The sequence below is a fragment of the Homo sapiens genome, chromosome 17 (genome assembly GCF_000001405.40).
Source record: "Homo sapiens chromosome 17, GRCh38.p14 Primary Assembly".
In the NCBI taxonomy this organism is placed as follows: domain Eukaryota; kingdom Metazoa; phylum Chordata; class Mammalia; order Primates; family Hominidae; genus Homo; species Homo sapiens.
The window spans coordinates 67,864,289-67,879,789 of NC_000017.11; the positions used below are offsets into that span (position 1 = coordinate 67,864,289).

The 15,501-nt window shown below is 38.9% G+C and overlaps 1 protein-coding gene across 47 annotated transcripts in view; it reads left to right on the top strand.

Moving 5' to 3' along the window:
• The window catches only part of BPTF (bromodomain PHD finger transcription factor), a 158,876-nt gene that overhangs the window by 38,786 nt on the left and 104,589 nt on the right, over window positions 1-15,501 (top strand). For 28 of the 47 annotated variants that reach the window (XM_005257150.4, XM_005257154.4, XM_005257159.3 and 25 more), the window contains exons 3-5: window positions 2,176-2,399; window positions 10,529-10,732; window positions 11,268-11,456. In XM_005257150.4, the coding sequence (XP_005257207.1) occupies window positions 2,176-2,399; window positions 10,529-10,732; window positions 11,268-11,456 (617 nt within the window). The remainder of the gene's footprint in view (window positions 1-2,175; window positions 2,400-10,528; window positions 10,733-11,267; window positions 11,457-15,501) is intronic. The other 19 variants (XM_005257156.4, XM_047435599.1, XM_047435603.1 and 16 more) reach the window with 1 other exon arrangement.

A 15,501-nucleotide genomic window follows, 5' to 3' on the forward strand; every position in this document is an offset into this window, starting at 1 on the left:
GGTTGAGGCGGGCGGATTGCTTGAGGCCAGACGTTCAAGACTAGCCTGGCCAACATGGCGAAACCCTGTCTCTACTAAAAATACAAAAATTAGCTGGGCGTGGTGGTGTGTGCCTGTAAATCCCAGCTTCTTCAGAGGCTGAGGCATGAGAAGTGCTTGAACCCAGGAGGCAGAGGTTGCAGTGAGCCAAGATTGCGCCACTGCACTCCAGCCTGGGCAACAGAGTGAGACTCCATCACAAAAAAAAAAAAAAAAAAGGAAAAGAAAAAAGTTAAACAAAACAAAACAGACCAAAAAAACCCCCAACTTTTCTTTGAATGGATTAGCAGGTATTCACTGTTTTGCTGCTTTATGCTTTAATGAATTTTTCTTTCTGTGGCTTCAAGAAGAAAAATGTTAGGTCAGTGAATACGGTATAGGTTGAGTATCCCTTATCTAAAATGCTGTGGATCAGAAGTATTATGGGCTTTGGAATATTTGCATTATACTTACCAGTTGATCATTCCTTATTTATTTATTTTTTTGTTTATTTTTGAGACAGAGTCTCGCTCTGTCACCCAGGCTAGAGTGAACTGGCGCGAACTCGGCTCACTCTAGGCTCCACCTCCTGGGTTCACACCATTCTCCTGCCTCAGGCTCCCGGGTAGCTGAGACGACAGGCGCCTGCCACCATGCCCGGCTAATTTTTTTTGTATTTTTAGTAGAGACCGGGTTTCACCGTGTTAACCGGGATGGTCTCGATCTCCTGACCTTGTGATCCGCCCGCCTCAGCCTCCCAAAGTGCTGGGATTACAGGTATGAGCCACTGTGCCCAGCCAGTTGATCATTCCTAATCTGAAAATCTGAAACGCTCCAATGAGCATTTCCTTTGAACGGCATGTTGGCACTCAAAAACTTTTGGATCTTGGAGCATTTTGGATTTCAGATTTTCGGATTAAGGGAACTCCACCCATATCCTTTTATTTATCTGTGATTTAATATAGGCCTTCTTTCTTCAGAATTACTGAATGACTTATTCCTGGAATGCTGCTAAATTTTTATTCATTTATTACCTTAGTAATAATATTTAACATTTATTGATCACTGGTGTGCCCAGGCACTGTGGTAGATGCCTTATCATTATACCTTTAAGTCTTATAGTGGCCTGCAGGCAGGTTTTATTATATCTTCATTTTACAAGTGAGGTAAATAGAATGGCTTAGAGACTCAGAGAGGCTGTGTCTTGTCCATGTCCACATATCTTACAAGCAAATGAGTGTATTTAAAGCCAGATCTCTCCTAAAGCCCAGTTCTTTCAGTTCCCTCAGTTTGCCATTGAGTAAACAGGAAAATCAGGCTCACTCTCATCGAGTGCCTCACACATACTCTTGAATTCCTTTTGAGTGGGGACAGAAATACCATTATATGTGTTCCTCTATGTCTAGTCCTAGACATTAATTTGCCTGTTTGTTTTAAGTTAGTGACCATCTCTGTTGAAGTCTTTAACTCCATTAAAAGTGAATGGAACCTTAGGAGAGTTTTAGGCAGGAGAGGAAGCTCCTCTTCTCTCCAGTTTGGGCTTCGATTGTCCAGAAGTAAAGAAGAGGGATGAGATATTATTTGAGATAACTCCTTCAAAAACCAGAACTTAGCAAAGCATTTACACCATTTTGTTAGAAATATTTCTAAACTATATTATAAAGTTAGCTGGGTATCGTGGCACATGTCTGTAAGTCCTAACTACTTGGGAGGCTGAGGCAGGAGAATTGCTTGAGCCTAGGAGTCTGAGTACGCAGTGAACCACGATGGTGCCACTGCACTCTAGCCCGGGCGACAGAGTGAGACCCTGTCTCTAAAATAAATTTATTTTATTCTAAAATAATTCTAAATACATTCTTCTCATCATATTGTTACATTGATGATCTTAAAGTTGGTTGAGATGTAGCTGAAACTGGCTTCCACAAAGTACTCTCACGTGGTTCTGAATTTTGAGGTTATTTTTCTTTGTGTCATGTTTTTTAGATATCATTTCTCAGAGTAAATCAAGTTTGAGTGAGACCTGCAGGGTTTTCTTGTGAGCGCCTATATTGAGTTTTAGTGCATAAGCTTTGTTTTAAGTTTTCACTGGGTAGATGAACTGTCAGATAAGTGGCATTATGTCTAACATATAAAGTATTTCCCCCCATTTTTAAACAGAGAAGAAGATACAGAAAATGAAAATGAAAAGAAAATTTGGTATTACAGCACAAAGGTCCAACTTGCAGAATTAATTGACTGTCTAGACAAAGATTATTGGGAAGCAGAACTCTGCAAAATTCTAGAAGAAATGCGTGAAGAAATCCACCGACACATGGACATAACTGAAGACCTGACCAATAAGGCTCGGGGCAGTAACAAATCCTTTCTGGCGGCAGCTAATGGTGAGAGGGGCATTTTCTCATTTTATTTTTGTTAAGTCTGAGCTAAACCGTTGGTATGAAATCACTGCAAAATTTGAAAATAGATTAAAATTTTCAAGTACAGTCGTGCATTGCTTAATGATGGGGATACATTCTGAAAAATGTGTCATTTGACAATGTCATCATTGTATGAACATCATAGAGTACACTTACACAAACCATACACCTAGGTTATACGGCATAGCCTGTTGCTGCTAGGCTGCAAACCTGTACGTCATGTGACTGTACTGAATCCCATAAGCAGTTGTAGCACAATGGCAGGTATTTGTGTATCTAACTATATCTAAACATTTAAAAAGGTAATACGTATAATCTTATGTGATCACCATCACGTATGTGGTTCCTGGTGGACCGAAACATTGTGCAGTGCATGACTGTGTGTATATTTTACTTTAGTTCTCCATATTTCATTTTCCCAAGAGAACCTTGTTCATTCCACTGTAAATTAGGGATGCTATACATTTTAGTGTTTTATTTCTGCCTTGGGTCATTACTGATATTCCCCAACATGTTAGTTTGTTTCTTTAATTCAAGTATCTTATTAAACTTTTTTGGCATTCCAGTTTTTAATTTTAAGAAATAATATTCTTTTTGAACTTTTTGCCTTTTTAAAAAAATAAAACTTTAAATTTTAGAGTATTTTTAGATTTATACAAAAGTTGCAAAGATAGTAGAGGGTTTCCATATATCCTGCACTTGGTTGCCCCTGTTATTAAAGTCTTAGATTAGTGTGAAATATTTGTTACAACTAATGGACCAGTATTGATACACTGTTACTAACTCAAGTCCATACTTCATTCCAATTTCCTTAGTTTTTACCTGATGTCCTTTTTCTGCCTCATGATCCTGTACCACTTGATATTTAGTCATCATGTTTTCCTCTGGGTTGTCGGTTTCTCAGACTTTCCTTGTTTTTGATGGCCTTGACAGTTGGGAGGAGTAGTGGTTAGGTATTTTGTAGAAAGCCCTCATTATGGGTTTTTCTCATGGTTAGCCTAGGTTTATGCATTTTGGGGAGGAAGACCACAGAAGTGAAGTGCAATTCTCATCTTCTTATCAAGAGTGCATGGTGTCCTCGTGACTTACCACTGATGATGTTAACCTTGGTCCCTGGGTGAGGCAGTGTTCGTCAGGTTTCTCCACATCCTCCCCCAACCCCTCAAACCCCCAATACTGTACTTTCTGGAAGCAAGTCACTATAAACAGCCACACTTAGCGGGTGAGGAGTTATGTTCTACCTTCTTGAAGGGGCAATATCTACATAAATTATTTGGAATTTTTCTGCACAGGAGATGTGTTTATTTTTTCAGGCATTTATTTCTATGAGTATACATTCATGGATATTTTATACTTACTGGGTTATAATATAATTGGATATTTATTAGGTTATAATTCAATGTCACCTTATTTATTTTGTTACTCAACTCTTTATTTTTTTAAGTTATAAATACATATATATCTCAAAAGTTTAAATAGTATAAAGGGTATGCTGTGAAAAATGAATCTCTCTCCTTCAAAATCTCCAATCTGACCTTCCTTTCTCCAGAGGCAATCATTATTGCTGTATGTTTTTTTGTCCTGCCAGATGTATTCTGTGCATGTTTAATAAATACCACCTGTGTTTTCTAATGTAGCCATCCCTCAGTATTCTCAGGGATTGCTTCCAGAGCCCTCTGCAGATAGCAAAATCCATGGATGCCCAAGTCCTGCAGTCAGCCCTGTGGAACCTGCTGATATGAAAAGTTGGCATTCCATATTCAAGGGTTCTGCATCCTGAGAATACTGTATTTTCAATTTGAGGGTGGTTGAATCCAAGGATGCAGAACCTTTGGCCACAGAGGGCTGACTATAGTGCCTTTTAAGTTTTAGCTTAGATAAAATTATTAGGTAAGATTCTGAAAGTACACTTTTAAGTGCCTGGTTCTGAGTTCTGCTCTTCTGCATACATTATCTGCTATACATATAATCCTATTAATTTTCCCCATTCTCCATTTGCTTAAAAATAGAATGTTTATATTTAATAAAGATACCCGGATAGCTGTATCCAACCTTGTTCTCACATATTCTACATCAATATTCCTGTGAATTCATGCGTATTTTTGGAGAATGATAGGCTCTCACATATAAATACTGTTGGGCACAAATATACTTTGTCTTCAGAAAAAAGCATTCTTAGTTACCATGAATTATATTTATTCATATCTGGTAGTTGGAAGTATTTCTCTATTAGATCTGTTTAGAAAAATGTGTAATTTTTTTATTAGAAAAGTTTTAGTGTTCAGAAGTCTTTGGGGGATAAGTAATTGCAGTAACACAATCTCCGTCTTACTCTCCCCCCATATAGATCAAATCATAGGAAATTTTATTAATTTCAGCCAGCTTACTTCCCCCCTTAATTTCCTTTTATGAATCATGGCATTAAAATAGACAAATCCCTTTTTGCTCTCCTGTGTTTTAGTACAACAACAGAGAACCATCTTTAGTCCTCTAAAAGGCAATGTGAGATAGGATTTTATAAAGTACATTGAATTAAAATATTTTTCAGAATAAAAAATAGAAAAAACAAAAAAATATTTTCTGTGTGTTAGATTATGTATACAGTATAATCATAATTAAAGAACAAAGTCAAAACAGGAATGGGTAATCAAGTGTTAAGTGTTGTGATTTGGGGGAATGTAAAAACCTAAAAATGTTAATATAGGGGAATTGATAAATTTCATTATGAATTATCATGTGATAGAACACTGCGTATTGGAGAATTAAGTAAAGTACCTTGCAAAAACTGTGTGAGATACTTAAATTCTTCTTCCTCTAAATAACCAACTGGATCAGGTTTTATCATTAAAAAATAACCAATTAGCATAGTAGAATTGTAGTTGGTTTCCTTCTCATATTTTTTGCATTTCCTACAATGAGCATGTTATATAGTTCAGTATGATTCAGCATGTAATGTACTTTTAAAAATTAGTTAAACCGGCAGGGCACAGTGGCTCACGCCTGTAATCCCAGCATTTTGGGAGGCTGAGGCGGGCGGATCACGAGGTCAGGAGATCGAGACCATCCTGGCTAACATGGTGAAACCCCGTCTCTACTAAAAATACAAAAAAAAAAAAAAAAAAAAAAAAATTAGCCAGGCGTGGTGGCAGGCACCTGTAGTCCCAGCTACTCGGCAGCCTGAGGCAAGAGAATGGCGTGAACCCGGGAGGCAGAGCTTGCAGTGAGCCGAGTGAGCCACTGCACTCCAGCCTGGGCGACACAGAGCGAGACTCCGTCTCAAAAAAAAAAAAAAAAAAAAAAAAATTAGCAAAACCTTTTGTAGTAATGGGGAACAACAAAGAGAACATTGAGCTTTAGGCCACAATATGTTCTTAGAAAGTTAGATGACTAAAATTTGTGTGCTGTGAGATTGCCTTGCAACCTGCAGTTATCCTCTTAGTACTACATGGAGTACATGGAAATAAGGTGAGTTGTACCTTGGATTTAATGGTGAGATCTGGACCCCAAAAATGACATAAATATTTTTTTCTTTCTTTCCTTTTTTTTTTTTTTTCGGCTAAGGTACAACATCAACCTGGTACTGTAGGAGGAGGGATTCACAAGAATTGAAAATTGTTGGGGAAGAGAAGGGGACACGGACATTTTTGGGTGCCTCCTGTGGGCCAGGTGCTCAACTAGGTGTTTTACAATTCTTTAATCCTCTCAGCAACTTTTTAAGGAGTGTATTGGTAATGAATTGAGCATTCAAATAGAAGAATTCCCGATTAAAACACCAGTTCACCACTGTTACCTTTATTTGTTCTCTCTGGTAACTAAAATCTTGGCTGTGATAGTCAGTTTAGGACCACCCAGTCCAGGTAAATACCCAAAATAATATCTAATCATGTTCTTTAACTTGGGGTTTTATGAGATGAAAACAATGGAAACTACTGGGGTTCTGATAATAGCCAAGAATAATTTACAGCATAACAGGAATTTCAGAATTGTAGCCTGTCTGATGACTTTGACTTGATGTTAACCTCTCAAAGAAAATGCTTCATTTCTTTTTTTTTTTTTTTTTTTTTGAGACGGAGTCTCGCTCTGTCGCCCAGGCTGGAGTGCAGTGGCGGGATCTCGGCTCACTGCAAGCTCCGCCTCCCGGGTTCACGCCATTCTCCTGCCTCAGCCTCCCAAGTAGCTGGGACTACAGGCGCCCGCCACTACGCCCGGCTAATTTTTTGTATTTTTAGTAGAGACGGGGTTTCACCGTTTTTTAGCCAGGATGGTCTCGATCTCCTGACCTCGTGATCCGCCCGCCTCGGCCTCCCAAAGTGCTGGGATTACAGGCGTGAGCCACCGCGCCCGGCCGAAAATGCTTCATTTCTAATGTATAACTCTCTGGTTTTTATCTACACACACACGTGTCTACTTTAGGAGAGTTTAATTCTATTTTTGATAGTTAAATTTTTCTTCTCCATTTTTCCTCAATATTTTATTAAAAATTTCAAATGTACACAAAAGTTGAAAGAATTATACAGTTACCAGCCTGATCAACATGGCAAAACCTCGTCTTTACTAAAAATACAAAAATTAGCTGGGCTTGGTGGTGCACGCCTGCAATCCTAGCTACTCGGGAAGCTGAGGCAGGAGAATTGCTTGAACCCAGAGGCAGAGGTTGCAGTGAGCCGAGATCGTGCCACTGCCCTCCAGCCTGGGCAACAGAGTGAGACTTTGTCTCCAAAAAAAAAAAAAAAAAAAAATTATACAGTAAATACTCATATATTCATCGTATAGATCTGTACTTTATATTTGTAACTAAATATACAGCTTACTATATTTGCTTTATCCTATGCCTGTATGGTAATTATGAAATGCTTTATTTTGCTTATTTGAGGGAAGTTTATTTTTAGAAGAATTTTTTCTGAGTAGAGATGGCTTCTAAAACCTGGTAGGTTAATTCTTTGTTTAGTTTTGAAATGTTCATGCAAAGTATAGAATATACTTGTTGATAGAATATGCATATTTAGTATAGATCAGATACAATGTAATTTTCTTTCATCCTTTAATGTTTTTCTCTCTGCTGAACATTTTGGGTCTCTTTTTCTTTTTGTTGTTGTTGTTTGTTTTGTTTTTGTTTTTTTGAGACAGAGTCTCGCTCTGTCACCCAGGCTGGAGTGCAGTGGCATGATCTCGGCTCACTGCAACCTCTGTCTCCTAGGTTCAAGCAATTATCATGTCTCAGCCTCCCAGGTAGCTGGGATTACAGGCGTGTGCCACCACACCTGGCTAATTTTTGTATTTTAGGTAGAGACGGGGTTTCACCATGTTGGTCAGACTGGTCTCAAACTTCTAGCCTCAAGGGATTCACCTGCCTCGGCCTCCTGAAGTGCTGGGATTACAGGCGTGAGCCACTGCGCCCAGCCCTGTTTTTGGTCTGTTTTTCTTATGGCTATGATTGCCATAGTTTTTTGAACCTAAAACTTGTATGAATGTATATATGTATATGTGTATTTAACAATATAGACTATTTGAAATTAGAATCTTTATAGAAAGTCAGAGAACTATGGTCATGCAACCTGTGCTTTTCAACCAATTTAAATGGTCTAAACTTAGTAGGCAACTAAAACAATTTTTTTGGTTTTATTTTCATTAAATGGCACTGGGAAAGTAGGGAGGATGTACAATGATTTGGTTAAGAAAAGCTATAGGATGTAGTTGTGTTTGAAAATGGCCGGGCGTGGTGGCTCACACCTGTAATCCTAGCACTTTGAGACAGGTGGATCACCTGAGGTCAGGAGTTTGAGACCAGCATGGCCAACATAGTGAAACCCCATCTTTACTAAAAACATAAAAATTAGCCAGGTGTGGTGGTATGCGCCTATAGTCTCAGCTACTTGGGAGGCTGAGGTGTGAGAATCGCTTGAACCCAGGAGGCAGAGGTTGCAGTGAGTCGAGATCACGCCACTGCACTCCAGCCTGGGCAACAGAGTGAGATTCTGTCTCAAAAAAAAAGAAAGAAAGAAAAAAGGAAATCTGTGCCTCTAAGAAAAACAGATAATCGGTAACTACATTTTCTTTTTCCAAATAAAGTGTTCTTTAAAATATAGGAATTAAGGGCTGGGCACTGCTAACGCCTGTAACCCCAGTGCTTTGGTAGGCCAAGGCACGGGGGAGTTCAAGACCAGTCTGGGCAACATAGTGAGACTCCATCTCTATTTTAAAAAGGATTAAAAAATTAGCCAGGCGTGGTGACACATACCTATAGTTCCATCTACTCGGGAGGCTGAGGTGGGAGGATCACTTGAGTCTAGGAGTTCAAGGTTACAGTGAGCTGTGATCACACCAGTGTACTCCTGAGCAAGAGTGAGACTCTGTCTCTAAAAAAGTAAAAAATAAATTTATAAAAAAGGAAACACAAACCCAAAAATCCAAGAGGAGTACTGTGGATATACATGGTATTAAGTGTTTCTTATGGCCCGGTGCAGTGGCTCACGCCTGTAATCCCAACACTTTGTGAGGCTGAGGTGGGCGGATCACCTGAGGTCAGGAGTTCAAGACCAGCCGGGCCAACGTGGTGAAACCCCGTCTCTACTAAAAATACAAAAATTAGCCGGGTGTGGTGGCAGGCGCCTGTAATCCCAGCTACTTGGGAGGCTGGGGCAGGAGAATTGCTTGAACCTGGGAGGCAGAGGTTGCAGTGAGCCAGGAGTGCGCCATTACACTCCTGCCTGGGTGACAAGAGCAAAACTCCATCTCAAAAAAAAAAAAAAAGAAAAAGAAAAACCGTGTTTCTTCTTATTCACAAATAGCGTACTCTAGTTGATAAATTTATTTTTATGAGGAAACAGTTTAGCAATTCCGAAACTATTTTACTGTGTGTACTAGGAATGAACAAATAACTAGATATGTTATAGATAATGTGAGCCAGATTTCTCACTGTCAGAGAAGTTACAGATAAGCAAGTGGGCAATGGTAAATGAACCCTATACAGACACATAGGCATTCACTCATATACATATGTGCCCACACAAATAAATACAGAAATAATATAGATGTATATATTTATGACTACATTTTTTAGCTCTGTTGGCTGAGAGACTCTAGAATAGTAACACCCCAATAGTAACAAACACACCAACCACTTAGATTGTGACTTCTAACATCATTCTCCAATTTGTTCTTCAAAAAAGAACAAAGGCTCCTTGGAGAGATGGTGGATTGTAGGGCTGGGGCAGGGAAAATACAAGGTGAGCCCGGAGCATCTTGTAATAGTGGAAAGTAAGAAAATGCTGGATGGATGGATGGATGGATGGATGGATGGATGGATATGTGTCAAAAGGACACTGGACTCGGAAAAAGTCCCCAGTGGCCAAAGCTGAAACAATTTGTGCAACAAAATTAAAAGTGATAGTATTGCATGATAACCCAAAGAATATAATTAATATCCATGAGTGCGTACTGATATACCGTGTGTTCTGTACACTGTGGTCCTTCTGTATCCCGTGGTCTATAACATGCCATAGTATCACTCTGTCTAAGTTGAAAGAGGGTAGGTGTACTAAGAGACTTAGTGACTTTCAGAACAATTAAGGGACTTCAGAAAGAAAGTTGTTTCCAAAAGGGCCTCTGTTTTCTCTTTTTACAGTTGAGGAAATGATGGCCTGGAGAGGTTAGGTAGCTTGCCCAGAGTCACACAGCTAATCCAAGTCAGATTTGCAGTGGGTTTTGGGTTTCTAGGTTTTGATCACTGCAGTGTGCTGCCCAGACTGTGGGTCTATGTCAGCTTGCAGTTTTTGTCATCTGTCACAGATATCCGTGACAGATATCTATATCAAGGCTATATTTTAAAAAGATAGGCTCATTTTACTTTTTTTAAAAAGTAGAGCCCATAATTAGCATGTATTATCTAGAGGTGAAGGTACACCAAATTGATTGAATTCTGTAAACACAATTTTGTTTGTAATCTTGATTTTTATTTCATAGGTCTAATGCTTTAAAAATACTTAATTTTTCCTCTTTAATAGCTTGTATTGAAACTCGTAAGTGACATTTGTGGTACTGTTCTATTTGGTTATATATAGGAATAATTTTTTTGTTTGTTTTACACATTATAGAAGAAATTTTGGAATCCATAAGAGCCAAAAAGGGAGACATTGATAATGTTAAAAGCCCAGAAGAAACAGAAAAAGACAAGAATGAGACTGAGAATGACTCTAAAGATGCTGAGAAAAACAGAGAAGAATTTGAAGACCAGTCCCTTGAAAAAGACAGTGACGACAAAACACCAGATGATGACCCTGAGCAAGGAAAATCTGAGGGTAAAAAAATTACTTGATTAAAAAGAAATATTTCATTAGTGTTATTTATGAAATCTCCAGTTTTACTTGCAAAATGAAAGTGAAATATTGCAAGCAGCTACCTAATTTAATATTTCTAAAGAGATCAGGATACCGTCCCCTCTTATAACGTGTGTAACAATTGTAATGAGTTTTATGTATTAGTGAATTTGCTATAATGTTATATTCATGTCTCTATTTATACTTCCCATTAAGTTGCCATTTCCCTATGAAAAAGAACTATTCTTTAATATTATACCAGAGTATACACTTTTGTATGTGATAAAATGTTCATTTTTATATTAATTACTTAAGCATTCTTAATATATTATTAAATATTCTTAAATACTCTCTGAATTACCTATTGCAGCAATATCCGAGAATCTACTTGCTTTAAAATGGCCGTTCAATGGAAGCAGGTTTTTTGTGATTATTTAGTAGTTGACTGAATGTGGCCATTTGCCCTGAAGCAATTTTAAAGAATATCTTTGAAGTTTTGTTGTGCATTTTGCTGTAGAGCCAACAGAAGTTGGGGATAAAGGTAACTCTGTGTCAGCAAATCTTGGCGACAACACAACAAATGCAACTTCAGAAGAGACTAGTCCCTCTGAAGGGAGGAGCCCTGTGGGGTGTCTCTCAGAAACCCCCGATAGCAGCAACATGGCAGAGAAGAAGGTGGCATCTGAGCTCCCCCAGGATGTGCCAGGTACAGAGGGCAGCGTATCAATGCCTCTGTAATGGGGGGAATCCTTCCCTTTTGTAGTAAAAGCCGAATGTCACCTAAAACCTTAAACTATGTGTTCATTCATGCTGCTTGCTTACAGTGCCATCCCCATTTGCTAAATTGTCACCTAACATTTGGAGTTTGATAAATGTCCTCGCAGTTAGTGCTTGAAACTCATCATAATTTTCATGCTTCTTAAACTTCATTTAGCTGTTTTTGTTTAATAGATTTATTTTTATATTTTATCACCAGACCATAGTGGCAGATATTTTGGTTTTAATTACTTATGTACTAATGGCTCAATGTTGAATGATCTGACCTTTCCAGTTCTGTAGATACTAACAAATTAATTTTATGTTTGCATGTGCTCGTGTAATATTTATAGCATTTCAAACCGTAGTATTATGGTAGAAAATCATTATCACAGAACATTGTTGTCAGATGTATTTTGACATAAAAATGTAAGTTGACCAGTAATTCACATTTTCAGTTTTTAAAATTAAAGTTATACTCCAAGTAAGTTATAGCACACCAAGAGTGTCCTGTTGCATAACATGAAGGATTTTGACAACCTGCAGTTCTTATGGGGACGACTTCCATTTGAGTACTGGTCAGCAGTGAGCTGTGTTGCTGAAAACACCAGTTTAACAGGGCGCTACAGATAGGGATGTAAGTGTAAGCTCCAGAAGAACCACAGCAATCAGCAGTAAGTCCACCTTACTTTATACTGATGAGAGATTGATCATTAAGATCAAGAACAGGGCCAGGTGTGGTGGTTCATGCCTGTAATCCCAGCACTTTGGGAGGCCTAGGCGGGCAGATCACCTGAGGTCAGGAGTTCGAGACCAGCCTGACCAACATGTTGAAACCCCGTGTCTACTGAAAATGCAAAAATTAGCTGGACATGATATCATGCGCCTGTAATCCCAGCTACTTGGGTGGCTGAGGCAGGAGGATCACTTGAACCCACGAGGTAGAGGTTGCAGTGAGCTGAGATCGTATCACTGCACTCCAGCCTGGGCGACAGAGCAAGACTTCATCTTAAAAAAGTAAAAAAAGAGAAAAAGAAAATATATTTATATGAAAACATAAGCAAGAAGTTTCAAGGAAACTAGAATGGGAGCAAATATAGCAACTGTCAGTGGCCGGCATCAGAGGGGAATTTGGGTCATTAGCAGGGTGAGAGTGTTGGACAGCTGAAGATGCTGTACCTACAAATTCAAAACCTTCCCATTTAATAACTCATAGTTCTCTTCTTGAGTAGAGTAAAAAACAAAACAATGATCAAACATGAAAAGCATTTTAAAAGACTTTATTAAATATATCATACCAGATTTTAAAGAGGAGTTTGGTACTTTTGTAAAGTAGATAAACATTTTAATAGGTCCCTGACTTCAGAATATACTAACGGAGATGTATCAGTGACCAAAATAGATAAGGTCTGGGCCCTTGGTGACTTACATTCTAGTGGGCAGTAGACGGACTTAATAGAGTTCTGACCTTCACCTGCTTCCTTCTGTTTCTGTGGCTCTCTATGCAGTTATTTATTCAACAGCTATTTATTGAGTGCCCTACAATGTGCCTGGCTATGTGCTAGACACTTTGTGATGTCCCTGGACCAAACTCTGTTACCACTGTTTACTACCTATGGTCAGTGGATGAGATGCCTTGTTAGAAGAATTGGGGTGGGAGAATTGTTAAAGGCAGACTAAGAACAATAGCCGTGATAGAAGACATCTTACTTGGTTTTCTTTTCTAAACTTTCAGAATGTATTTAGGCACCTAATTTAATGATTAAAACTTATCGACAAAAGATAACTGTCAGATTGGAAAGCATTTTGGATGTTAAGATATTTTTGGTAAAGTTTTTTTTTGAGAGAGAGTCTCACTCTTTCACCCAGGCTGGAGTACAGTGACGTGATCATGGCTCACTGCAGGCTTGACCTCCCAGGGTCAAGTGATCCTCCCACCTCAGCCTTCCAAGTAGCTGAGACTACAGGTGTGCACCACCATGCCCAGCTTATTTATTTATTTATTTAGTAAACAAGTAAGTAGAGACAAGGTCTCACTGTGTTGCCCAGGCCAGTCTCGAACTCCTGGGCTCAAGCCATCCTCCCGCCTCTGCCTCTCAAAAGTGCTGGGATTACAGGCATGAGCTACTGCACCCAGCAACTTTAAAAAATTGAAATATAACCTGCAGTAAAGTTTATAAATATTAAGTGAATAACTTGATGGATGTTTACGAAGTTAACACATCTGTGTTACCATATCGTGCCCCCTTTTAGCTACCACTACACCTAGCCCAACAAAGGTACTGACTATTCTGACTTCTATCACCACTGATTGGTTTGCCTTTTTTAAAAAAATTACTGGAACCATACAGTATATACTCTTTGATGCCTGATAGCTTTTTTCCCACCTCAACAAAACATCAATGAGAGCCATCCAGATGTTGCTAGTAGTAGCAGCTTATTCTTTTTTATTGCAGTATGATATTCCATTATATAGATATGTCATGATTCTTGTTACATTTTGGTGGTTATTTTAATGATTTTTGGTTTGGGACCATTATGAATAATACTATTATGAATATTTTACATGTTTCTTGTGCACATACATGTGCATTTCTGGAGGTACAAGCCTAGTTGTGGATTTTCTAGGTCATGGAGCTGGTTTATGCTCATCTTTGGTAGATACTGCTAAACAGTTTTCCACAGGGGTTGTAGAAGTATTCAGTTCAACAGTGTATGAGAGTTCTAGCTCCTCTGCATCCTTGCTAACACTGGGTATCATCAGCATCACTCTTTGTCTTTTTGGAGGACTGAGGGGACATGCTAGTGGGCATGTAGGGATATTTTACTGTTCTTTGCACTTGCTAGCTCCCTTGTGACTAAGGATGTTGAGCGTCTTTATGTGTTCGTGTGTGTGTGTGTGTGTGTGTCAGTCGTTTAGATATCCTCTTTTGGGAGGTACCTGTCTGCTTCTTTGTTCATTTTCTATAAATGTTCTGTTTTTTGCTTTGTAGTTGTTTCATGGGAGAGGGTAAATCTGGTTCTTCCACTTTACCTTGACTAGAAGCAGAAGTATCTACACTGAATTTTGAATGTTAACCTAATCTCATGTTCCTGGGGGTAAATATAACTTGTTGTGATGTATTTTCCTTGTTATATATTATAGCATCCAGTTTATTAATATTTTGTTTAGGATTTTTGCATTTACTTTCATGAGTAAAATTGGCTTGCATTTTTCTTCTCTGATAATGTCAGTCTTTAGTATCAGGAATATTTTGTCAGTCTTTAGTATCAGGAATATTTTGGCCTCATATCATGAGTTGGTACTAGAAGAGTTTTTGTGGGGCTGTTGTTAATTATTTCTTTTTTTTTTTTTTTTTCTTTTTGAGATGGAGTTTCAGTCTTTCGCCCAGGCTGGAGTACAGTGGTGCGATCTCGGCTCACCACAACCTCTGCCTTCCTGTTTCAAGCGATTCTCCTGCCTCAGCCTCCCAAATAGCTGGGATTACAGGTGCCCACCACCACGTCTGGCTAATTTTTGTATTTTTAGTAGAGACGGGGTTTCACCATGTTGGCCAGGCTGGTCTTGAACTCCTGACCTCATGATCCACCCGCCTCAGCCTCCCAAAGTGCTGGGATTAGAGGCGTGAGCCACCGCGCCCGGCTAGGGCTGGTGTTATTTCTTAAATGTTTGCTGGAGTGATTTGGTTCTGGAGTTTTCACTGTGAGAAGGTTATTATAGATTTCATTCACTTCTTTAGTAGATAATGGCTATCTTAGTCCATTTGTGTTGCTGTAAAGGAGTATCTAAGGCTGGTGGTTTATTTAAAAAAAGAGATTTCTTTGGCTATGTGGTTTTGCAGACTGTACAAGAAGCATGGTACTGACATCTGCATCTGGTGAGGGCCTTATGATGCTTCCACTAATGACGGAAGGGGAAAGGGGAGCCAGTGTATATTGATACCTCATTGTGAGAGAGCAAATAGGGGAGGCGGGGGTGGCAGATGACAGGCTCT